This window comes from Homo sapiens, chromosome 16 (genome assembly GCF_000001405.40).
Source record: "Homo sapiens chromosome 16, GRCh38.p14 Primary Assembly".
NCBI classification, from domain to species: domain Eukaryota; kingdom Metazoa; phylum Chordata; class Mammalia; order Primates; family Hominidae; genus Homo; species Homo sapiens.
The window spans coordinates 26,361,391-26,386,571 of NC_000016.10; positions in this window are offsets into that span (position 1 = coordinate 26,361,391).

Consider the following 25,181-nt stretch of genomic DNA (forward strand, 5'->3'; position numbering starts at 1 on the left):
AGGGCAAGCTAACTAAAAAATATATATATATAGTCATAAGAACACTTAACTTGAGATCTACCCTCTTACAAAATTAAGTGTACAATATGTTATTGTTGATCATAGGTGCAATGTTGTAAAATATCACAATTTCATAAATTTCTATCATTCTCATAACCTTGTGGAGTGGTGGGATTGTGATCCCAGAAGTCAGACAGCCCCAGGTGTGAATTCTAGCACCACTGCCTATTGGCTGAATAATTCCTAGCCAGTTACTTAACCTCTTTGAAATTCATCTGGAGCATTTCTAGAGCTGATTCATCTTGCTTGACTGGAACTGTGTCCCTTGGTTAGTAACTCATTTCTCTTCCTCCTCATTTCTGATAGCCACCATTCTACTCTGGCTCTATGTAATTGACTGTTTTAGATATAGATATATCCTAAATATGAACTCATGCAGTGTCTGTTCTTCTGTGACTGGCATATGTCACTAAGCATAATGTCCCAGTTCCTGAAGTTTCATCCATGTTGTCTTGGAAGGCAGAATTTCCTTCTGTTTCATAGCTGAATTGGATTCTGCTGTATGTGAGGACCACATTTTCTTTATTCCCTCATGCACTGCTAAATATTTAGGTTGTTTCTGCATCTTGGATGTTGTGAATAATGCTGCAGTGGACACTGGAGTGCAGGTATTTCTTCAAGATCCTGACTTCAGTTCTTTTGGATAAATACCCAGGAAGTGGGATTGCTGGATCATACGATAGTTCTGTTTAACTTTTTGAGGAACATCCATACTGCTCTTAGTGGCTGCACCATTTTGCATTCTTGGGCAAGCTTTTTGATTGATCTAAAACTTACTGTTTCTCACCTATAAAACGGGATTCATAAACTCAAATGCAGGGTTGTAGTGAGAATTAGATGAAACAATGCAATTTCCTAACTGCCATCATTCTTGTCTTGCCTTCATATACTTGTACTTCTGGGGCTACTAGTTAATTAATTTTCCCCTTTAAATTGAACCACTTCTTTTTTAATGTGAATATTATTTATCCATAACTTTATTAATAGCATCCTGCAGACTACAATAACATTGTCCTTTCCTAATGCGCATTAAGCAACAGATAACTTTAAAAACAGAGCTCTCTCAGCCAGCCGTGGTGGCTCACGTCCATAATCCTAGCACTTTGGGAGGCCAACACAGGCAGATCACTTGAGGTCAGGGGTTCGAGACCAGGCTGGCCAACATGGCTTAACCCTGTCTCTACTAAAATACAAAAATTAGCCAGGCATGGTGGCGGGCACCTGTAATCCCAGCTACTCAGGAGGCTGAGGCAGGAGAATCACTTGAACCCCGGAGGTGGAGGTGGCAGTGAGCCAAGCTCACCCCACTGCACTCCAGCCTGGGCAACAGAGTGAGACTCAAAAAAGAAAAAAAAAAAAACACAAAACAAAACAAACAAAAAAACAGAGCTGTCTCCTTCATGTGCCACCTCATTGGTGTGTGGAACGCAATTGCAGACACTCTACATGGAGAGAGTAAGACCACAGCTGGGCACCTGCACATGAGAAATAGCCAGTACTTATCTGTTTCACCTTCTGCTTAATGCCAGCCTCCCATGTGAAGACGGTCCTTACACAGGCAACACTGATTGAATCTGGGGTGTGGGGGCAGCTCAGCCACCATGCAGGAATAGAATCAGCTCCAGTGTTGCTGCAGCTGCCCACTCTTGTCCCTCACTGTGGCAGCTCTTGGTTAATGGCAGAGACCCGGGGCCTCGCTGCCCGTGCTACAGCCTGGGCTGTGCAAGCTACCAGGGAAGCAATCCTTGGCAGGCATCTCACCTTTCTGTGCCTCAGTTTCTTCATCTGCAAGGTGGAGATAATGTTAGCTACATCGTGAGGATTGAGTGATGTGCCTGGTGCAGAGAAAGTTGCCATTTAAAGGGTTGCCAAGCTAAAGGGATTTTTTTTTTTTTTTTTGAGACAGAGTCTCGCTCTGTCGCCCAGGTTGGAGTGCAGTGGTGCAATCGCGGCTCACTGCAACCTACACCTCCCGGATTCAAGTGATTCTCCTGCCTCAGCCTCCTGAGTAGCTGGGACTACAGGCCCACGCCACCACACCCTGCTAAGTTTTTGTATTTTTAGTAGAGACAGGGTTTCACCATGCTAGCCAGGATGGTCTCGATCTCCTGACCTTGTAATCTGCCTGCCTTGGCCTCCCAAAGTGCTGGGGTTAGAGTAAAGGGATTTTTTAAATGTCCAGATATGCTGATTCACATCAGTTTGTAGCCTCTCTTTTCTTCTCTCCCTCCTCTTTCCTTCCTTCCTTCCTTCCTTCCTTCCTTCTTTCCTTCCTTCCTTTTTTCCTTTATCTCTCCCTTTTCCCTCCTCCTTTCCTTCTTTCCCTTCCTTGTCCCTTCTTTCCTTCCTTCTTCTTTCTCTTTCTCCTCCTCTACCATCCTTCCTCTCTTCCTCCCAAGTGCTTTCCTTCCTTCCCACATCCATTTTTCCTTTCTTCTTCCCTCAGTCTCTGCCTTTCACACACCCAGAGGACCTCCTACACCTCAAGGAATTTAGTTACTTTCCTATACGTGATGCATCCTGTTTTCTCATTTCACAGGTGAAACTGAAGAGGCTGCAGCTTTGAGAAGACACATGATTTTCACATGTTCACACAGCAAGTGCAATAATGAGCTGACATCTTCCTAAATGCACACTAAAAATAATACATGCTTGTGAAAACTAAGATGGTTCCTCCATTGTCACCTAATGCATTGTGTACACCTGCGGTACATGTGCTTCTCCTGGAGAAATCATGGAATTGTGTTAAGGAACAAGCTCAGCCTCTTGCATTGGAGTGGCATCTTGTGTCTGAGTGTGTGTAAGAGACAGAATATATAAAGGTTAGATGCGTGTTCTGTGCAGCCAGACTCCTTGGCTTTGTCTTCTGGTTCCACTGCAATGCTTAGCACATCCCTTCTTGTTTCTCATCCTCAGTCTTTGTATCTGAAATGTGGGGATAATAGTAGAACTTACCTCCTGAGGCTGTTGTGTGGAATAAACAAGACAACAGAGAAGTGTTCAGCAAACGCCTGCTAAGTACCAGTAAATATGGGTGATTGTTATCATTATTCTGGGCATTACAGGGAACTACATTGCAGAAAGCAACTGTTCAAGTGCAAGATGATGCTTGCAGCAGTTGCAGGATCCAACCACTCTTCTCCAGTGTGAGGTTTGGCTGATCAAACTGCCTTTAGTCAGATCCACCTGCCACCTACATCTGTGTGACCTGGAGTAAATTCTTAACCTCTCTGAGCCACAGTTTTCTTATCTATAAAAGGAGAAGAATACTGGCACCTGCCTCAGGGTAGTGGTGAAAATCAAATAAAGTAACAGAAGAATTACTTAGAATAAAGCCTGATGCATAATACATAGTAATTACTTATTTATTATTTCTTTTTGGGACAGGATCTGCTGCCCAAGCTGGAGTAGACTGGCATGATCATAGCTCACTGCAACCTCAAACTCCTGGGCTCAAGTGATCCTCCCACTTCAGCATCCCAGGTAGCTGAACTACACGCATGTGCCACCATGTCAGGTAATTTATGAAAAACTTTTTATAGAGAGGAAGTCTTGCTATACTGCCTAGGCTGGTCTTGAACTCTTGGCCTCAAATGATCCTCCTGCCTCTGCCTCCCAAAATGCTAGGATGACAGGTGTAAGCCACTGCACCTGGCCACTGTTTTCTTTTTAAACTACTGCCTCTACTCTTCCCTATTATCTGATGCTCTCTCTCTCTTTAAGTAAACACACCTGGGGATGTTCCAGGTGTTTGGTGCTGGCAGGATCATCACCCCTTTCTCCATCACACACACAACGACACCACTACCAGCTGTGTGCTCTCCACCCATTCAGGGAATTGCATTGCTCCAAGGACGACCCAGAGCAGACAGAGGCCTGGGAGGGAGGGTCTGGGCAGGGGCAGGGAGAGAGGAAAGAATCGCCTCCAAGTACTTGGCTAGCCTTCTGCTTCCCCTCAGGAGAATCATAAATTACCCTCCTTTAGTTGTTCACCACTGCTCCCATGAAAATTAAATTCCCAGCCTGTATTTTAAATCCTATATATTGTTTGGCTTAAGCCAAACAATATCACTCTGATAAATAGGGCATTTTATCACTCTGATAAATAGGGCATTTATCACTCTGATAAATAGGGCATTTTAATAACATTCACAGCATGACCAAGAGTTGGAAGAAAATACACATGGCTCACAGGTGTCGGATTCCCTGGGCACTGCGGAGATGGGATCTTGTCATAGCGCTCTCCTGGAGAATGACTAATGCTTACGTAGGAAGGAGAGGGTGTCTCTGCCCCTCCAGGGACTGAGACAGCAGGGGAGGCTGAGTGCTGGGAACATAGAACTGCTGGAGGAAGGAATGGGAGGTGAGGAGGCAGGCAGAGGCAGGGACCCGAGTTTGCTCCTCCTAGGAGATGCACAGCCCCTAGGAGGATGGCAGCCTGACCCCAGCAGCAGTCCTTGAAGCTCTTCTTTCTCCACTCTGTCAGGGCTCTGTGTCTTCGCTGCCAGAGATAACAGGGTGATGAAATGTTCTGAATCCATCAAATGCCTGCACACCGAGGCAAGGGGCTGCTTTTGCTCTATTCTTTTTTTTTTTTTTTTTCAGTTTTGCCCTCTGATGTCGGCAGAAGTCTTTGACATTAACATGCATGGGTTGGCTCCTACCCTGTGCTGGGTTCTATGGGGGATACAGAGATGAATAAGACATGGCCACTGCCCTTGAAGAGCACACACACCAGTGGGGAAGACAGATATGAGCTCAAGCACTAAGAGTTAAATACTAACGGCTATTGCACATTGAACACTCACCAGGAGCTTGGCACTGTGCTAAACCTCACTCATTCATTTAATAACTATTAACCAAGTGCCCAGAATATGTCAAGAATGTTTTTTTTTCGGTGCCTGGAATCAAATAAGGAACAACGCAGCAGTCCTCTACCTTTGTGGAGTTTATCATCCCTGAGGGTGGTAGCGAGGAGAAAGACAACCAATAAAGAAAGAAAGAAGTCTATAATACACCTGGAGGTGATCACTTACAAGGCAAAGTAAACGGAGAGGAATGGGGAAGCCATTTTATAGCAGGTAGGTCTGGGGAAGCCTCACCAATGAATGAATGGAATAAGAGAGTGAGTCATGGGGATGCCTGAAGAAGAGTGTTCCAGGTTGAGAACACAGCCAGTGAAAAGGCTCTGAGCATGTGGAGGCCAGCAGCCCAAAGCAGAGGGAGAGGGAGGAGGGTGGGAAATTAGATCAGAGAAGTCAAGAAGCCAAGGGAAGAACTTTGGATTTTATTCTAAGGACAGTGAAAATTTACCAGATTATTTTAAAGCAAAGGAGTAACATTAAGTTAAGTTTGCAAAGGATCACTGAGCACACTGTAGGAATGAACAAGGGTGAGAGCTGGGGACCAATCATGAGGTTCTAAGGGCAGCCACAACTATTTCCATTGTGGACATCAGAAAAGCTGAGGCTGGGAGGCCGAGGCAGGCAGATGACCTGAGGTCAGGAGTTTGAGATCAGCCTGGCCAACATAATGAAACCTTGTCTTTACTAAAAATACAAAAAAATTAGCTGGGCATGGTGGCACACACTTGTAATCTCAGCTACTGGGGAGGCTGAGGCATGAGAATCGCTTGCACCCAGGAGGCAGAGGTTTCAGTGAGCCAAGATCATGCTACTGCACTCCAGCCTAGGCAACAGAATGAAAAAAAAAAAAAAAAGAAAACAAAAGAAAAGAAAAGAAAGAGAAAGAAAAGAAGAGCTGAGGCTGGAAGCTGAAAGTTATCTCTGGTTTCAACCCTGGTAAGTAAAAAAGTTAGAGGCCAAAGCCAGAATGGTCTGGGTCCAGACTCTCTGCCATTAATTCCTGTGATCCACCAACTCCCTGCTAACTTGAGTAAAAGGCGCAAAATGATCCTCATTGTATGGTGTGTACAAATCTCAACCTGGAGGTTCAGAGGAGAGAGCAAACCCCTGCTGATGTGTGGCAAATCAGAGAGGACTTCATGCTGGAAGTGATGGCATGCTGGCCCTTGGAGAAGGACCCCATTTGATCAGATAGTGAGAAGATGCACCCTAGACATAAATGATAATGCAGCAAAGGCACAGAGATGGGGAATGGGGAAATTATGCAGTTCAGGAAGACTAGAGTTTGGAATACCTTTCAAAGAAGTGTGGGACAAGAGTCTGAAGAAGTAGCTAGACCACTGTGGAAAGCAGTTTGGTGATTTCTCAAAGAACTTAAAACAGAGCTACTATTCAACCCAGCAATCTCACCATTGGGTATATACCCATTGGAAAATAAATCATTCTACCAAAAAGACACTTGTGCTCATATGTTCATTACAGCACTATTCATAATAGTAAAGGCATAAAATCAAGCCAGGTGGCTGTCAGTGGTAGATTGGATAAAGAAAATGTGGCACATATAAACCACAGAATACTACACAGCCATAAAAAAGAACAAAATCATCTCCTTAAAGCAACATGAATGCAGCTGGAGGCCATAATCCTGAACGAATTAACACAGAAACAGAAAACCAAATACCTCATGCTCTCACAAGTGGGAGCTAAAGATTGAGTACACTGGACGTAAAGACGGGAACAACAGATACTGGGGACTACTAGAGGAGGGGCGGGAGAGATGGGGGCAAGGGCTGAAAAACTACCTATTGGGTACTATGTTTACTACCTGGGTGATGGGACAATTTATACCCCAAACCTCAGTGTCATGCCATGTACCCATGTAACAAACCTGCATGTGTACCCCAAAATCTAAAATAAAAGTTAAAATTTTAAATAAATAAAATTCTAAACTGAAGGATTATTGATAAGGAACCATCAAATGGTTTCAGGCTGCAAGTGGTGAAAAGAAATTGATGGCATTAGAGAGAGAAGCCTTGGGAACCTAGAGGGTGTCTCTCGAGAGCCTGTCAAAGTCTCCCCAAGGCAGTGCCGGGAGAGGCTCAGCATGAGTTCCATGTGAATCTGGTCAACTGGGCAAAGATTGTGTTCGGCCTTTGGGAATAGCCTGGGCAACGTAGCGAGATGCTGTCTCTAAAAATAAAAATAAAATAGCCAGGCATGGTGGCTCATACCTATAGTCCAAGCTACTTGGGAGGCCGAAGCAGTGCCATTCACAGAAGTAGTGGAGTCTGAAAAAAGAAATAGTTATTCATAAAGAGATAATCAACTTGATTTTTGATGGGAATAAAAGCTAGAGGAATTTATTTCACAAGCACTCTTACAGCATTTACAATCGACCAGGTCCAATTCTAAGTACTTCGTAAATATTGACATATTAAATACAATCATAGGAGGAATGTTTTCTCTTATTACCCTTGTTTTGCAGTCAAGAGAAGTGAGGTACACAAAGGTAGAACAACTTGCCCACTGTCACATGTGTCATAAGCATCAGAGCCTGGGTTTGAACCCAGAAATTTCGGCTCCAGAGTTCATTCCTCAACCATGTTAGGACATCATCTTTGTGAACATCAACATCCAAGCAATAATCTACAAATCTGAATTACTCACCTTTCTTGAGTTTGACAAAAGAAAATGACTCCTACCGTCCCACAGGCCTCACATTGTGGGGACATGCCAAGATCTCTAGATTAATTTAGATCTATATGCTACTAATGATCAATAAACTTGACATTTGTTCTAGGACTTCCAGTTGCCAAGTTCCATCATTATGACTAGAGTCCATTGTCACATCCTGTTCACCACTACATTGCTACTGCCTAGAAAAACACTTGAGATGTAATTACTGCTCAATGAATATTTGTGATTGAGTATAATCTCTGGCCAGAGCCAGGCCCAGATTTGCCCCACATTTTAGATCTTGTGTTCTTACAGTGTTGCATGGTGATTTTAAACATAGAGTCTGAAGTCAGACTTCCTGGGTTTGAATCCTAGCTCTGCCACTTACTAGCGGTGGAACTTCAAATAAGTTACTTAATATCTCTGTGCCTAAGCTTTCCTGTACATAAAATGTGGAGGAACCCAGGAGGGTTCATTGCTTGAGGCCAAGTGTTCTGGAATAGCCTGAGCAACATAGTGAGATGCTGTCTCTAAAAATTAAAATTAAAATTAACAATTAGCCAGGCATGGTGACTCATACCTGTATCCCAGCTACTTGGGAGGTCAAAGCAGGAGAATTGCTGAAGCCCAGGAGTTCAAGGCTGCAATGAGCCATGATCGTGCCACTACACTCCAACCTGGGCAACAGAGTTGAGAGCCTGTCTTTAAAAATAATAATAATAATAAATTAATTAACATTTTAAAATGTGATGGTAATGGTAACTACCTCATAACATTGCTGTGAGCATCAAATGAATTAATGTTTGTATAGTACTTAGAACAGTGCTAGAACATAGAACCAAAACTGTTAGCTGTTACTGTTACTACTACTATTACCACCATTACTGTGGAGTATAGCTGGGCTGCCTCATAGTTATAGAACCTTTTTTCCAACCAATTCTTCTCTCTGTTTCTCCCTGTTGAGGTCTCAGCCTGCTTCAAGTCTAAGGTCATCCAAGTTTTCTCTTATTATAATGATTATGGTAAGTGTATTAGTCAGGGTCCTCTAGAGGGACAGAACTAAGAGGATAGATATATATATGAAGGGAGTTTATTAAGGAGTATTGACTCACATGATCACAAGGTCCCACAACAGGCCATCTGCAAGCTGAGGAGCAAGGAAGCCAGTGAGAGTCCCAAAGCTGAAGAACTTGGAGTCCGATGTTCGAGGGTAGGAATCATCCAGCACAGGAGAAAGATGCAGTCTGGAAGGCTAAGCCAGTCTAGTCTTTTCACATTTTTCTACCTGCTTTATATTCTGGCCACTCTGGCAACTGATTAGATGGTACCCACCCAGATTAAGGGTGGGTCTGCCTTTCCCAGCCCACTTACTCAAATGTTATTCTCCTTTGGCAACACCCTCACAGACACACCCAGGATCAATACTTTGCATCCTTCAATCCAATCAAGTTGACACTCAGTATTAACCATCACAGTAAGTGCCCTCTTGATGAAACCCATACCATCATCATTCCCTGTGTCATCTTTATCTCCAGTTATAAGCACCAGCCATCCCTTTGCCTTCTTGCTGACAACATGAATTGGGTTTAAGAAGGAAAATCTCCTTCCAGAGTAGCCTCTTTCCTGCTGATGCAGGAGCCCAGCCTGCAGGACTGGGCTGTGCTTCCATCCTCAGCCCAACTCTACCCTCCAGGAATGCTCTTACAGCCATAGCTTTCTGAACCCTAGAAAGGCTCCTGAGCTGCCCTGAGCTGGATAATCCTTGCTACAGTTATAGCCTCTGCCTTCCAGTCCCTTGTACCAGAGAGAAAGGAGGACTCAGTGAAGACCCAGGTCAGAGTGAATGTACAGAATTTTGATTGAGGCCTGAAGATCTCAAGCACTGTGTATGTGAAAGTGATTGGATGATGTGATGGTAATTTTTTTGTGTTAACTTGGCAAGTCTAGAGTACCCAGTTATTTAATCAAACAATATTCTAGGAGTTGCTTTGGAGGTATTTTGCAGATATGGTTAACACCTATAATCAATAGGCTTTAAATAAAGGAGATTTCCCTCAACAATATAGGTGGGCTTTACTTCATCTGTTGAAAGCCTTAAGAGCAAAACTCAAGGTTTCCAATACAAGAAATTCTGCATCAAGACTTCAATATCAACTCCTGCCTGAGTTTCCAGCCTGCCAGCCTGCCCTACAAATTCAGACTTGCCAGCCCCCACAATCATGTGAGCCAATTTCTTAAAATAAATATCTTAATATAGACATACACACATGTGGTGCACACACACACGCACAGAGACAAATGGTCTCTTTCTCTGGAGAACCCTGATGGATAGTGATGCTATCCAACCTCCCAATAACAATAAGAAATCGAAGACAAGCAGACTCCAGGAGAAAGATGAGGCTGGGTTGCAGTTATCACATAACAGAAAAAGGAAAGATAAAATGAGGAGGGAAGGGAAGGGAAGGGAAGGAGGGAGGAAGGAAGGAGGGAAGGCAGGAAGGAAGGAAGGAAGAAGAAAGGGAGGGAGGGAAGGAAGTGAGTTAAATAAGGGAGAAATGAAGGAAGGGAGTCAAAGGAAGGAAGGAAGTTAAATAGGGAGGGAAGAAAAGAAGAAAGGAAGAAAGGAAGGAAGGAAGGAAGCAAGGAAGGAAGTTAAGAAAGGAAGGAAGGCCAGGAGTTAAATAAGGAAAGAAGTGGGGGAGGGGAGGGAGGAAGGAGACAAAAGACAGGAAGTGGGGAGAGAGAGAGGAGAGGAGAGGAAAGAGGGGAAAAGATGAGGAAAGGAGAGAGAGAGAAAAAATAAATAGCTTTTTTTGTTTGTATAATCTGACATCTTGTAGACAGTTTTTTAGAGAGATCAATTCTGTCCCTTTGAGTTTTATTTTAAAAATTAGAGAAATAGGCTATTTGGCTAGTCTGCAAGACTTGTCATAGCCTCTGGGTTTACTGGGCGATTGGCAGGCCATAGTGTAAATAATGACTTAGAACTACTGGTTCAACTTCTCTTCAAAAATAAGGAACTAGGATCCAAGGTGAGGCCCAGTGACATACAGTGACTTGGTCAATATCGCTCATGGGAAGGCAGTCAAAGCTGTAGGTAGGGCCGGGCGCGGTGGCTCACGCCTGTAATCCCAGCACTTTGGGAGGCCGAGGCGGGCGGATCACGAGGTCAGGAGATCGAGACCATCCCGGCTAAAACGGTGAAACCCCGTCTCTACTAAAAATACAAAAAATTAGCCGGGCGTAGTGGCGGGCGCCTGTAGTCCCAGCTACTTGGGAGGCTGAGGCAGGAGAATGGCGTGAACCCGGGAGGCGGAGCTTGCAGTGAGCCGAGATCCCGCCACTGCACTCCAGCCTGGGCGACAGAGTGAGACTCCGTCTCAAAAAAAAAAAAAAAAAAAAAAAAAAAAAAAAAAAAAAAAAGCTGTAGGTAGGACCAAGTTTTTCCTAACTCCCAGTTCTCTTCATCACATGATAGAATCAGGAGAGAGCTCTTCTCCTCTGTCACCCATCAGTCACCTCTGACCTTGCTATTTATTCCCAAGAGTCAGAGAGGCAGAGTGTACCCTCTGCCTTCGGAGATATCAAAGTCATCAAACCTGGACAAGTGAAAGCTTTGGCTGACCAGGGGCAGGGGAGGTTGGGTGTATCTGGCTGCTTACAATTCAGAAGTTGACATCAGCTCAGCTGCTTGCATGCTGTGCTAAATCTCAACGTGTATAGACTGAAAATCACCCAGTTACTTTGCGAAAACAGCAGTTTAATAAGATTAGGAGGAGTTGAGAACACTTGTTACGTTCAAGGCAATAAAATGAAAAGCAGATCATGAAGCTGAGAATTTGCAATGGAATTCTGAAATCAGCAAGTGGAAGAAATATTGTCTGAGGAGACAGAATTCAAGACATTGGCTTCAGACAGGTCAAGTCAAAACGTACTACCCTTAGAAGAAAATCCAGTTGCCCTTGGTGTAGAAGCAAGCTCCTGCTGCTCTTCTTGGACACCACATTATTATTTATATTGGGAACTCCTACCAATTTACATATCCTATAGATTGACCTGGTCTATTAAGCGCTAAGCCTCAAAGTATTATTGTAACTTAAACTTGCACCAAGTAGTGCTGTGATCTCAATAAATTGTGTCGGGTAGAAGTTCATCAAGTTGGGCAAAGGGGAAGAGAAAAAAATGAAGATTTGTACATGATCAGAATTGAGAATGTTACCCAGCTAAGACATGGCTCACCAAGACATCCCAAGAGGCTGTGCCCAATGCTGGCTTGGTGAGTCGGGAGTTGGCCTTTATAAGTGTCTAACAAGGCCATGTTGCTCAAAGGAAGCAGAAATCTAAGCAGCAAGGGAAATACCTTAGGCAAAAGAGGTCTTGGTGTGATAGAGGTCTTGAGACAATTCTCAAGTGGTTAAGTAGAGTGGGATGGAAAGATTGTGATCTAAAAGAATCTGAGAGGAAAGAAGGGGTCAGATCACTCCGAACGTTGTGTTAAATAAGAAATTTGGGATATAAGCTAAGAGGAGTGGGAGTCATAGAAAGATTTTAGGCAGGAAGTGACAAGAATTGGCTTATATTTTTAAAGGATCATTCTGGCTTTTAGGTAAAACTGATTGCAGGAAGGGCAGGCAAGAATGAAAACAGGGGAACCAATTAGAAGAATATTACAGCAGTGAAGGATAAAAAACGATGCTGGCTTTGACTAGGATGACGGAAGTAAAGACGGAAAGAAGTGAATGCATTGGTAGATATGTGGATGTATGGGTATATGTGTGAATGGATTGATGGGTGAGTGAGTGGGTGAACAGATGGGTGAATGGATGAGTGGATAGATGGGTAGATGAATCGATAGATGGATGAGTGGATAGGTATATGGGTGATGGATGGGTGGATGGTTGAGTAGATGGATGGATGGGAAGATGGGTGGATAGATGGATGGGAGAGTGAGTAGGTGGGTGGATGAGTGTATGAGTGAATGGGTATATGGGTGGGTAAATGGGTGGATGAAGAGATAGGTGGATGACTGAATGGGTGAATGGATGAATGAATGAATAGTTGGATGGATGGGTGAATGGGTGGATGGAAGAATCAGTGGAGGGGTAGATGAATGGATGGATGGATGGATGGATGGATGGATGAGTGTGAGTGGATGGGTGGGTGGATGGGTGGATAGGCAGATGAGTGAGTAGGTGGGTGGATAGGTGGGTAGACAAATGGATGACCGATGAATAAATGGGTGGATAGACGAATGGGTAGATGGGTGAATGGGGGGGGGGTAGATGAGTGAATAGGTGGATGGGTGGATAGATAAGATGGATGGATGATTGGCTGGGTGGGTGGATGGATTTATGAGTGGGCAGGTGGATGGGTGGATGAACGAATGGGTGATGGATGGGTGGATGCTTAGATAGGTGAGTGAATGGATGAATGAATGAAAGGACTGGTGGGGGTGTATGTATGGATGGAAGGGTGAATGTATGGATGATGGGTGAGTGGATGGGTGGATGGATGGAATGGGTAAGTAAGCAGGCAGATGGATGGGTGGATGAATGGGAGAATGGGTGAATGGATAGATGGGTGGATGGGTTGATGGGTGAGCAAGTAGATGGGTGGATACATGGATAAAAGGGTGGATTTGTGAGTGGATGTATGTGCTGATGGGTGAATGTATGGATAAACGGGTATATGGGTGGATTAATGGGTGGATGGGTGAATGGATGGGTAGATGTGTGGATGGATAGATGCGTGAGTGGGTGGGTGGATTTATGGGTGAATGGTGGAGTGGATAATGGGTAGATGGGTAGGTGGTTGTATGAGTGGTAGATGGTTGGATGGATGGATGGATGGATGGATGGATGGATGGATGGATGAATGGATCGATACATGGGTGGGTGGATGGGTGAGTGAATACATTGGTGAAAGTATGGATGGATGGATGGATGGATGGATGGATGGATGGACGCATGGATGGATGGACGCATGGATGGATGGATGGATGGATGGGTGGATGAATGGATAGATGACTACTTAAATGACAAGGTATGCACACTGTTCCCTTTGTCTTGCTGCTTGAACACATAGAGACATTTATTAATTTTCTGTAAGAAGTTCATTGATTATTTAGGATTTTCTCAGTCAGTAGAAAGTAAGTGCAAATGAAAAGTAACCCATTGGTGTACATGAAGAACAAATACTGTGCCATCTCCACCTTGCAGATGAAGAGACTGAGGTCCTTAGAGAAAAGCAGCTGGCCTGTGGATATACAGCCTGGGAAGACGGGGAGTGGAAGTAGAATTTCACTCTTGTACCCTTATTTCTAGGAGTCCTTGCTGCATCCACTTCATGGGGCTCCTGCTGTTGTGTACTCTTTCCAGATAAGGAGAAGATGGTCTAGGAAATAATCCAGGGCATTTATTACTGCCATCAGTCATGGATATATCTTGCAAAGAGGCTGGTGGAAGAAGTCACCACTCTGCGCTGTCCCCCAAGGGATCAGCCATACGGAGTAAAGAATGTGCTAAGCTCTGTTCTGGGGCAAAGTGGAGGCAAGAATGTAAGCACTGCCATTTCACAGGTGTGTGAAGAAGGACCTGCAAGAAAGAAGAAAACAAAATGGGTTGCATGTGTAGATATAGGTATATCTACATCTAAAGACAGAGAGAAACCACAGCATTCAGAAAGAAGATTTTGAGTTTGATTATTTCAGAGGTCTGGGTATGTATCCAGTGAGGATGAGAAACAGGGACAGAAAAAAAGTGAATGAATGACAGAGTGAGAGTTGCTTTATATTTATATGGGCAGAGGAAGGTGTATGAATGTGTGTCTAGGTGTGTAGATGTGTTTGTGTGTATTTGTGTGTGAGTGTGCATCAATGGTTGTGTGCATGTGTATTTACTTGTATTTTTATTCATATGTATGTGGGTGAAAGGGAAAGATTTTGAGACATCTCTGAGGATGCACACTTCAGGATTGTATGTGCACTCAAGGGAAGGAGGTAACATTATTTGTCATTTGACAGTTTAGGGACGTGTGGGCTCGCAATGGGAGGTGGCAGGGGTTAGGAGAAGGAAAAGAGAGACAGAAAAAGAGAAAGGGAGGCAGAGAGAGACAGATAAGGCATAGGGGAAAAGGGAGAGAGAACCACGCCACCCATCACAGAGGCTGCCAGAAGCTCTTGGCCCACCCCCACCCGCCCAGAACATCTCTGCTGTCCTAGAATGGTTTTAATCCCAGTACGCTGTGATCACCCTGCCTATTTTATGGTATGTCAGTCCTCTATACCACTAGAAATTGCTTGGAAAAGGACCTCATTTTTTTTCAGACCACTAAAAGCGGCCCTTCTCTGTTTCTGGTTTCTCTTAAATGCAGTCGTGGAGAGGTAGATGGATTATTTTCAGCCTATCTCAGTACTGTGGCAAGGTGGCAAAGGCCTCCAGGCTATCCTGGGAAGGAGGAATGCATGGTGGAGGGGAAAAGGATTTCATTAGATCATGCCCCAGGTTGTTCAAGTGAAAAATGGAGAAAATAATAATATCTTTCTTGCCCTCACAGATGACTCTGGAAAGGAAGAGTAAATCTCTACTCTCCAGGAGTTCCCTGGAAGGCAGATTTTATAGAAGCTATGGAAGAGGGTGTGGCCATTTTCAGAGAAGAGGAGATATTTAGACTGAGAAGTCAGTGAATGTTTCAAGGAGACGCAGGTGAAAATTCTTCCGTTAGGGTAGCTAGGCTGCAATGTTGTGGATTTGGTCTGTTCTTGGTCAGTATCTTCTAGTGCAGTTGAATTCTAATCAGACTAACCTGTTTGGAGAATGGAGGATCCAGCCCTTATGCTTTTAAGAATCACTTGGCCGGGCGCGGTGGCTCACGCCTGTAATCCCAGCACTTTGGGAGGCCGAGGCGGGCGGATCACAAGGTCAGGAGATCGAGACCATCCCGGCTAAAACGGTGAAACCCCGTCTCTACTAAAAATACAAAAAATTAGCCGGGCGTAGTGGCGGGCGCCTGTAGTCCCAGCTACTTGGGAGGCTGAGGCAGGAGAATGGCGTGAACCCGGGAGGCGGAGCTTGCAGTGAGCCGAGATCCCGCCACTGCACTCCAGCCTGGGCGACAGAGCGAGACTCCGTCTCAAAAAAAAAAAAAAAAAAAAAGAATCACTTACCACAGTCTGGAATTTACTGGAGACATGCAATGGCTTAGCGGCAATCCAAGAGAATAAGCTACAGGGACGTGCAGTTTGGGCTGCACCAGGCTGGATTCCCAGGCTCAGGCAGGTGGACTCAGTAAACATTTATGGAAGGTTTTCAATGTGCCCAGCAATGGGCTGTGTACTCGGGCAATGCAGGGAACACAACACACCAAGTCCCACTTTTGTAGAACTTTACAGATAAGTGGGAGAAGATAGTTCAGAGTCAATGACTTAGATGATACAGATAGTGACAAGAGATGTGAAGAAAATACAGCAATGGATTGGATAAAGAGTGATTGGCTAGGAACATTATTAGAGTGATGGTCAGGAAAGGCCCCCTGAGGAGGCATTACTTGGGCTGAAATATGAATGATAAGAAGGGAGATGTGAAAGCTTGAAGGTCACCCTAAGAGCAGAGATTTATTTCTACATGCAGCCAGGAGCCATTGAAGGGCTTTAGTAGGAAAGTGAAACATTCTGGATATTGGGTGGAAAGTGGATTGAAGGGTGTTTGGCAAGAGCAGAAAGCAAAGGGACCAATTAAGAGTTCACTGCAGCAGTCCAGGCAATAGACAACTAACTGTGCCTTGAAGTAGAGTGAGAGTAGTGGAGATAATAAGGAGTGGTTGTCTCTACACCCACCTGAATAGCTACAATTAAAAAGACTAATGAGACCTAGTGATGGCAAAGATATGAAGAAAATGGGACTCTCAAACACGGCTGGTTGGAGTATAAATTGTTATAAACAGTTTTTTAAATGCTTGGCAGGATCTTCTAAAGCCAAATATACATATATCCTAAGACTCAGCAAGTCCACCCCTGAGAATATGCCCAACAGAAACAAGTGTTCATGCTCACCCAAAGAAATGTAAAATAATTTATATAAACTTTATTCATGGCAGCCCCAAACTGGAAAACCAAATGTCCATCAACAGGAAAATAAAGAAGCGAACAGATGACTGAATCACTTACAACATGCACGAAACTCACATAGACAGTGTTCAACAAAGGAAGTCAGTCACAAAAGAGTACATACCATCTGAGTCCATTAATGTGCAATCAAGAACAGATGATAGAGGTCATCATAGTGGTTACCTTTAGTGATGACCATAGTGATTACCAGAATGAGACACAAGGAGCCTTCTACGATGCTGGAAATGTGTATCTTGTTGTGGACTGAAGCAGAGATGCATTCATATGTACAAATGAATGAAGCTTAATACTTAAGATTTGTGTACAATTTTGTGTGTAGATTCTGCCTAAATGGTAAAGTTAATAGGCATGGTTTAGCAGGAACATGTTTTGAGGTACATTCAAAGATCCAACAGGACTTGCTGACAGATTTGGTATAAGGTATGAGAAGGAAAGAGATGAATCAAGTATTGCTTTTGAGTTCGTGCCCTGTTCCATGTGGAAAAGGCATGTTGCTCAAGGATCCGAACTTCCTCTTGCCATTTTACAAGTAAGGGTGAACACTGATGTCTAGGGTGAGAAAAAAAAAAATCTAGGTCCCTCAGCAATCAGGTGAGCATAATAGTAAGGAAGCCAAACCCACAGCTCTTAGGGAAGCAGAACTTTACAAGTGGTTTGGCATTCAGGGGGAGAGCTGCCACCTGTGGTAAGGTGAACGTGTAGGAATATGGCATGGCCTCTGTATTAGTCTGCTTTGTGTTGCTATAAAGAAATACCTAAGCCTGGGTAATTTACAACGAAAAAGGTTTAATTGGCTCATGGTTCTGCAGGCCATACAGGAAGCATAGCAACATCTGCTTCTGGTGAGGCCTCAGGAAGTGTCCAATCATGGTGGGAGGAGAAAGGGGAGCTAGTGGGTCACATGGTGAAAAAGGTAGCCGTAGAGAGAGGAGGAGGTGCCAGCCTTTTTAAAATAACCGGATATTCCATGAACTAACAGAGTGAGAACTCACTCATCACCAAGGGGCGGGCACCAAGCCATTCATGAGGGATCTGCCCCCATGCCCCAAACACCTCCCACTAGGTGCACCTCCAACACTTGGGGTCACATTTTAACATGAGATTTGGAGGGGAAAAATATCCAAACAATATCAGCCTCCATCTTACAAAAGGCCTGTAGGCAGAAGTGGTCATCAGAGCAGGAAACAGAGCAGACGTTTTATCCTGTGGACCAGGGCACAAGACAGGATATAAGTGAAGCGTGCTGTGGCAGAGAATGAGTAGATGTGCACCAATCCCACTTCCCTGGCCTAAGAGCATGGGGAGACTGCAGTTCCTGCCTCCCCGGCTCTTGAGCTGAGGCCACATGCTGATTCTGGCAAGTGGAATGTGGGTGAGCAAATGTACACCATTTCCAGGCCCAGCCCTGCTTCTCTCTGAGATCCTCGGTTCACTCTCTTTATTCAGAGCATAAGGATCCAGCTTAAGACCACACAACCCTATGCGAAAAGTTGAGCCTCAAGATGGAAGGAAAGTAGATTGCTAAATCATTGCACATAATGCTGCTGGCTCAATGCCTGATCGGGTTGTGACATGAGTAACAAATAGGCCATTGCACCAAGTCTTTGAGATACAGGGGTTGTTACAGCAACTAGAGTTAATTACCCTAGCATGCGTGTGTTCAGAATCTAAGGACTAATCTAAGGAAGATGGGGCCGTTACAATGTGGGAGCTGGGATTCTCTGAGATCCAGTTAGCTCTGAGGAGGGTGCTGGTAGGGTGGGACGTATGAGACTGAGCCCATACGATGGAAGTGCTGAGGAAAGACAGAGCTGTTAAACCTCTGTCTTTGGGAGAAGAGTCTAAGAACTTGGCTGTAACTGTGGACCCCAAGAACACAGCTGTGGGGGCGCTACAACTAGGAGATGTAGAGAAACTCATCCATCTATCCATCCAGCCAGTACTTCCCATCACTCACTATGCACTGAGCATGTTGGATGCATGGAACAATTGAACAGACATGGGTTCTGCCTTCTTGGAGTTCAAAGACTGCACCTGAAATTAAAGGTGGGATAGCTGATGCTTTATTCATGGGTTAACTCTTCATAGAGAGAAATAAGCACCTTACTGCGTCCTTTACCCTGAAAACCCACCTTGGAGAGTCTCTTGGCACGGCCAACCCAAGTTGGTCCAGCCCTGAGCAACTGGAGAAAGAAGCAGATTTAGCTTCAGAAGGTAGGTGGAGACTGTTGGAGCAGCCCAGGCTTGGGGCAGTGGGATAGTCTGAGGCGTTGTTCCTACTTGAGGTTTCCCCAGTTGCCTTACGGGTAGTCACTTATCACACTCCTGGGGATAGGTAACATTCTATGGTGTGTGTGAGCTTGCTGTGCTTGTGTGGGATGCCATTGCAAAGTCCATCTAAGCCCAGGTCAAGGAAGGTGCAGGGGTCCTCGATGGAAACAATTGTCAGCTCATTATGGAAACTACTCTGGGGACAAGGGCCAAATGGAAATGATGAGGATTCTCTGTGCCAGGCCAGCTTTCTCTCTAGCAGTCCCTCCCTGAGCTGTCTGAGATACAGGCTTACCAGTGCTCAGATCTCTATTGGTGAGAATCAGGGGCTTGCCTCCCCTCCAAATTTGTCACCAGCATTGTCTTCACTCTATGATGAATAATTACAGCAATGATAAATAGTATTAATGATAGTAATAAACTCTGTTTATTGACGCCCTTCTACCGCTAGTCACTTTGTATTACTTCCTTGAATCTCAAGCTTGGCACTGCCTCTTCTTGCAGGTGACACCATGGAGCATCAGGAATGAGAATGTGCAGGAAACAATATGATGAATTAATTGAGTGCTTGCTACATGTCAGGCACCACGCTTACTGCTTTAGATTGCTAGATCTTTCAACAAACCTATCACTTAGGCAGCATTAGTAGCCCCATTGTGTCAAAGGACTGAGTTTTAGAAAGGTTGAGTAGCACAGCGAAGGTCACACAGACAAGGACACGGCAGAGCAGACATTGAATGCAGCAGCCTGGCCTCAGAGCCTATCCACACAATAACTACACTACACCGCCAGTAACATGCCAGTCTAGAACGTTCTGCAGGAGGACTAAGCTAAGGCCATCAACAGCTTTGACATTTTGTGCAGAAAGTCAGTGCCATGGCAGGGCCCAGAATTCCACTGAGAAAGGAAAGTCTGCCTTACATAGAAGCAGTGATTCTTTGGGGCTTCTAAAGGATGCCTGGGCTCCAGTTCTCTGCCTTTCTGGGAGACACAAGGACATGGATCACATACAAAGTGAGTTTGGTCATCCAGACCACCTTCCTGTTCCCTGCATTCCTCCAGGAAATGATGCTGATTGGCAGTTAGGGCAGAGAGTGGGCTAAGCAACTGAGCACTGGCTAGTAGGTCAGCACCTAGGAGGGGCTGCCCTTGACAATGCTGTGAGCGTGGTGTAAATCCTGAGAAAGCTAGACCTGGTGAACTTCTTTTTCAAAACTGAAGGCTGCACGTTCATTTCTATTTTGTGGCATGCAAAGCAGGTTCACATTCATTAGCTCATTGAATTTGAACCTCAAAAAATAAGTCCTGGTAAGCAAGCAAAGCAGAAACTATTATCCCCAACTCCAGTGGGCAGATATTGTCATTCCCATGCTATAGATAAAGAGAGTGGATTTTGATGTGCTGAGGTCATTGGTCCAAGGTCACACAGTTCTGTAGTGATGGACCAGCAGTCTCTGTAGTCCAAAGTTTACATTGCAAAGCATTAGACCCCACTGGCTCCCTACAACAAATACCTTCCCATTGTTGGCTCCATGCGCTGCACCTGCTTCCTCCTGTGTCCTCAGTAGCTGTCACCATATAAGTAAGACACATAGTAGTTGCTCAGTGTGTTCATTCAATGTATTGATGGATGGATGAGTGGGTGGATTTTCTGCCTCAAGATACAATCATGACTTAGATGACATAATAATGGAGTGAGTCTGCCTCTACCTACTAAGATCTAGTAAAAATCCATCAGCTGCTGCCCTGAAGTTTGTACAGGTACCATAGCAGTCTAAATGCATTGACTTCTCTGTACTCACCCTAAAATTCTCTCTCCTTCATTATTAATATTTTTTCTTTTTTTGAAAAATAACTACGCACTATGTAATTTAATTTCAGTAAACCCATAGGAAGCGCCTATTATCATCCCTATTTCATAGATGAGAAAATTGAGGCCCAGAGAGGTGAAGTAACTTTCCCAGGTTCACACTGTTGCTCAGTGGCAGAGCTGAGATCCTAATTATGATCTGTCTGTTGCTGAAGATCACAGTCCTAGTCAGGTTATACTGATTTTCTGCCAACAGTGGTTCTATCGAGATTGTTCAGAGGAGCATAGGGTGTTTGCAGCTTCAGGGAGCCTGACCATACAAAGCTCACCTTGTAAAATCAACCCTTGCAACTTCCACCTTCCCCCACACCAATAAAGGAGGAGGAAGCCAGCAGAGAGATCTTGCTTTGCTTGTCAAGAAGCTTCGGATTAGAAAGCTAGTTAACAATTCATCTAAAATGAGCAGAGGATTCCAAGCATATCCAAATTAATATTTATAGAGGGAATGCTTGCTCAGACCCAATTATTCTGAGGGCCTAGAAGCTGAGCACAAGTGGTGCATAAAGGGAGGGAGTACGGATGCCAGGGGAAGCTAGCCCTGGGGACTGTTGCCAGGATGCTGTTAGGTGCCAAACATGGGGCATCAGTGAGGCCTGGGGAGTGAACAAGCAGGTGTCTCACCCCACAACTGTTTATTTACAGCTAAGCACTAGGCTTCACCATAGCTTTAATTCTCCTCTTCAGCACAGGATATGGGCAGAGCTCACCTTTGCAGAGGCCTACAGTGATTGGGCAATAAGGAAATTTGTAGATGGGCCAGATGGAGACTCTGGAATCTGGGGATAAGGCACCACCACTTCTGGCCTCCTGTTCATAACTGCCAGGGGGAACAGAGGCCTGGCCTGGTTTGCCAGATTTCTTTGTATAGAAAATTCAAATGTTAATATAAAATCTCCATAGCAGCAAATTGTCATTTTCAAATAGTGAGAGGGTCCAACAAAGCATGCCCACGTCAGTTTTGGCCCCCACACTGCCGCAGGTCAGAACCTCTGGTCTAGAGGCTGGAGTCTGAAATTATTTCCACTGGCTTTGACGAAGTCCTGCCATTTTTGCCGTATAGAATTCTTCCAGCACTGGCTTAATATCAATCCATCTTTGATGGTATTTCTCCAGGTTCTAGCCTACTCAGCCCATTACAATCATAGAACCTGGAGTTCCCTTTAAAACTCTCTACCCACCACTGAAAGGAAGAAAAAATAGTCTCAGTTATTATTCCCAAGACTTTAATGTCACCATGAGAATATTCTCCCTCCAGCCGCCTACTCAATGACACTCATTTATAGGTCTCTGATCTCTAAATCTCTCTCCTATTCCTCTTCCACATAACACCAGTGGGAACTTTAGAAAATTCAAATCTGATTGTATGATTCTTCTGTTCAAAACCCTTCAAAGACTCCCCATTGCCTTCCTGAAAAAGATCAGCCTCCTTAGAATGGTGGTTAAAGTCCTACACGATCTGGCCGTAGGATGTCTCTTCCACTTTATCTCCTACCACCTCTAGCCTTGCAGTCTATAACAATGAGAAATGTTTATTTGAAAGCAACAGAAAATGTCTCTGAGTAACCGAAGCAGAGTAGGAAACCACTGTCTTCCAGCTCTAACCATCACCATCGTCAGTTGCCTGGATCTTAGCTTCTCCAATTGCCCAATTCAGTCTGTTTTCAATATAATAGAGAGATCATTTTAACCTTGAACCAATCTATGTTTCTCTCCTGCTTAAAACCTTCCAAGGACTTCCTATTTCACCAAGAATAAAAATGAAATCTTTATCACGATTTACAATAACTAACATTTATTGAGTACTTACATACCAGACACTTTTCTAAGCACTTGAGCTTGACATATCTTAATATGTCAAACCACTTTGTGGGGTAGGTTTTGTAAGTAGCCTCATTCAATGGATGAAAACACTGAGGCATCGAGAGGTCTGTTACTTTGACCAGCGGCTCATAGCTGGAAGGTAGTGAATTTGAAAAGATAGGCTGACTCCAGAGCCCAAGATTTCATCCACTAAACTGCACTCATATGCTGCCTGTTGTTTTCTGACATCATGCCCTTTCACTCTGCTCCAGACTAACTAATCTCATTACTGTTCTTCAAATGTGTTGTGTTCATTTCAACCTCAGCGTCTTTGATCCTCCTATTTCTCTACCTAGAAATCCTTCCAGGCAACTCTATATGGCTCCTCCCTGGACTTTCTGTCTTGACTAGCACCTCTCCTCCTCTAAGAGGTTATCTCCCTAAACCACATCCGTTTTCTCCAAAGCACTAAGTCAATGGAAAGGTGGGGAGGGGAGTAGTTTGAAAAGGGCAGGAACCAAAGAGCTTTGGGAGATCCTTGTGGTAGGTGCCAATGGAGTTACTCCAGGTTGCTCACTAGAATGAATTAGCTCTTTTAAGGTTTCCATCTTTAATAAGCGAAGTCCAAGGAGAGATAAATTCCTGTTGGCATACTCTTGATCATGTATCTCATTCTTGGCTAAGGTAGAGTGAGGCATCTTTTTTGACAACCAGGGCAACTGATACCTTGGTTCAAGTTGGAGAAAAATGCCCTTTCCCTGAAATAGGCACAGCTCTCCACCAGGATGCATGGTTGGTGAACAGAACCAGGGCAGGATTTCAGCCCTCAAATCAGCCTTGGTCAGTCATGTTTGTGCAGTGCTCAACCTGCACAACCACATGTGGCCACTTAGCTAGGACTGCTCACAGATGAGAAAGAGGTAATTCCCCTAATGGGAGCCAGGGATATCACTAAAATAATAATAATAATAATAAAGATATATACTGAGTAGCAAAAAAAAAAGTCACTAATGAACAACAGATATTCTCAACCAGTAGTTCTCAATTCAGATTACTCACTAGAATCGCCTGATGAAATTTACATATATTCGGATTCTAAAGTCCTACCCAAAACCAAAGTAAATTAGTTCTGGAGGTGGCACCTAAGAATTAACACTTTAAAAAGCATTGCTAATGATTCCAATTTGCTGCCAAGTTTGAAAACCAACGCTCTAAACTCTACCTCCACTGAATGCTGTAGTTTCTTAACTGGATTTTAGTATGTATTGTTTTCATGCCATTGTTCCGGCCATCATCATTCCCTAGAATGCTTACAAATGCTACACATACACACAAACACACACACACACACACACACACACACTCACACACCACACCTTTGTTGCGATAACTCCTGCTGACATCCTGAAGGAAGCTTACCTGACCTGCACTGCTCCACTCCCACTCTTCTTGATCACTGCACACTCCACAACTTACTGTCTGTCAAAATACCCATATATCCCTCCCTCTAAACTAGGAACTCTCTGAAAACAGGCTCTGGGCCAGATTCACAATAGACCTAAAGATCTCACCCTAGAGACCTAATCCTGAAACCCATGGACTTGTGATTGTTGCCCTAACATCTCTCCATTTCCTGCCAACACCACACCCCAGCCTGAGCTGATTCAAGGTTTTAGGTGTCCCATCAGCACCATGGTTTCTTCAATCCAGAATCCACATTTCTACTTGATTGTGAAAATCTGTGTTTCTCAGAAATCTTGATAGTTCAGACTCCCTGGATTTGTGTTCTGGGCTGCATTGGACTGCCTTTTGAACTTTATTTTTATTTTTTGCTTTTTTAAAATATCTTTTGCCCTTTGAATTAGTAAATGTGGACTAGTGCTTCTTTTTGCCTGCAATAAAGCCATCCACCCACTCTGTCTCAGTTAAAATTCCTGGGTCACCTCTTCACTTCACTCCTTTCTCTCCAGTGTTTTTCAACTTTCCCTGCAGCCTAAGCTATATCCTTAAAGAAAGAAAACAAAACCCTTTTACATTCTTCCTGCCTTTCATCTCCCTAAGACTCGGACTTCTGCTATCTGCCAGCCTCACTCTGCTTTCCCTGAGAAAAGCAGCCAGGACTTGAATTAGAAGGATGGTCCAAAGAAAGGATTTTGCCTGATGTATGCATGCAGTTTTTCCTTGATGTGCTAGAGACAAATGAGGGAAGGATTTCATACAGAGCTTCTGTCTCTGCTGGGTGTCAACAGCTGCTCCTGAGTCAACAGAGCAATGGTGTGTATCTGGACTGAAGAGAACAAAGGTTGCTTAAATTGTTTTCCATCCCCTCTGAAACCAATAAGTGCTACTCCACTGCTTAGCGCAATTGAGTTCCTGAACGGTGGTGCAGCAGGGTGTCAAATCAAATCTTAATTCTGTCAAATGCTGGCTTGATGAGCTTACAGAAGCAGGTGCAAGGCCAATAGGGGAGAGGTCAGGGGGTCCTATTCCAACTGGCTATGCCAGGGGCCCCAGT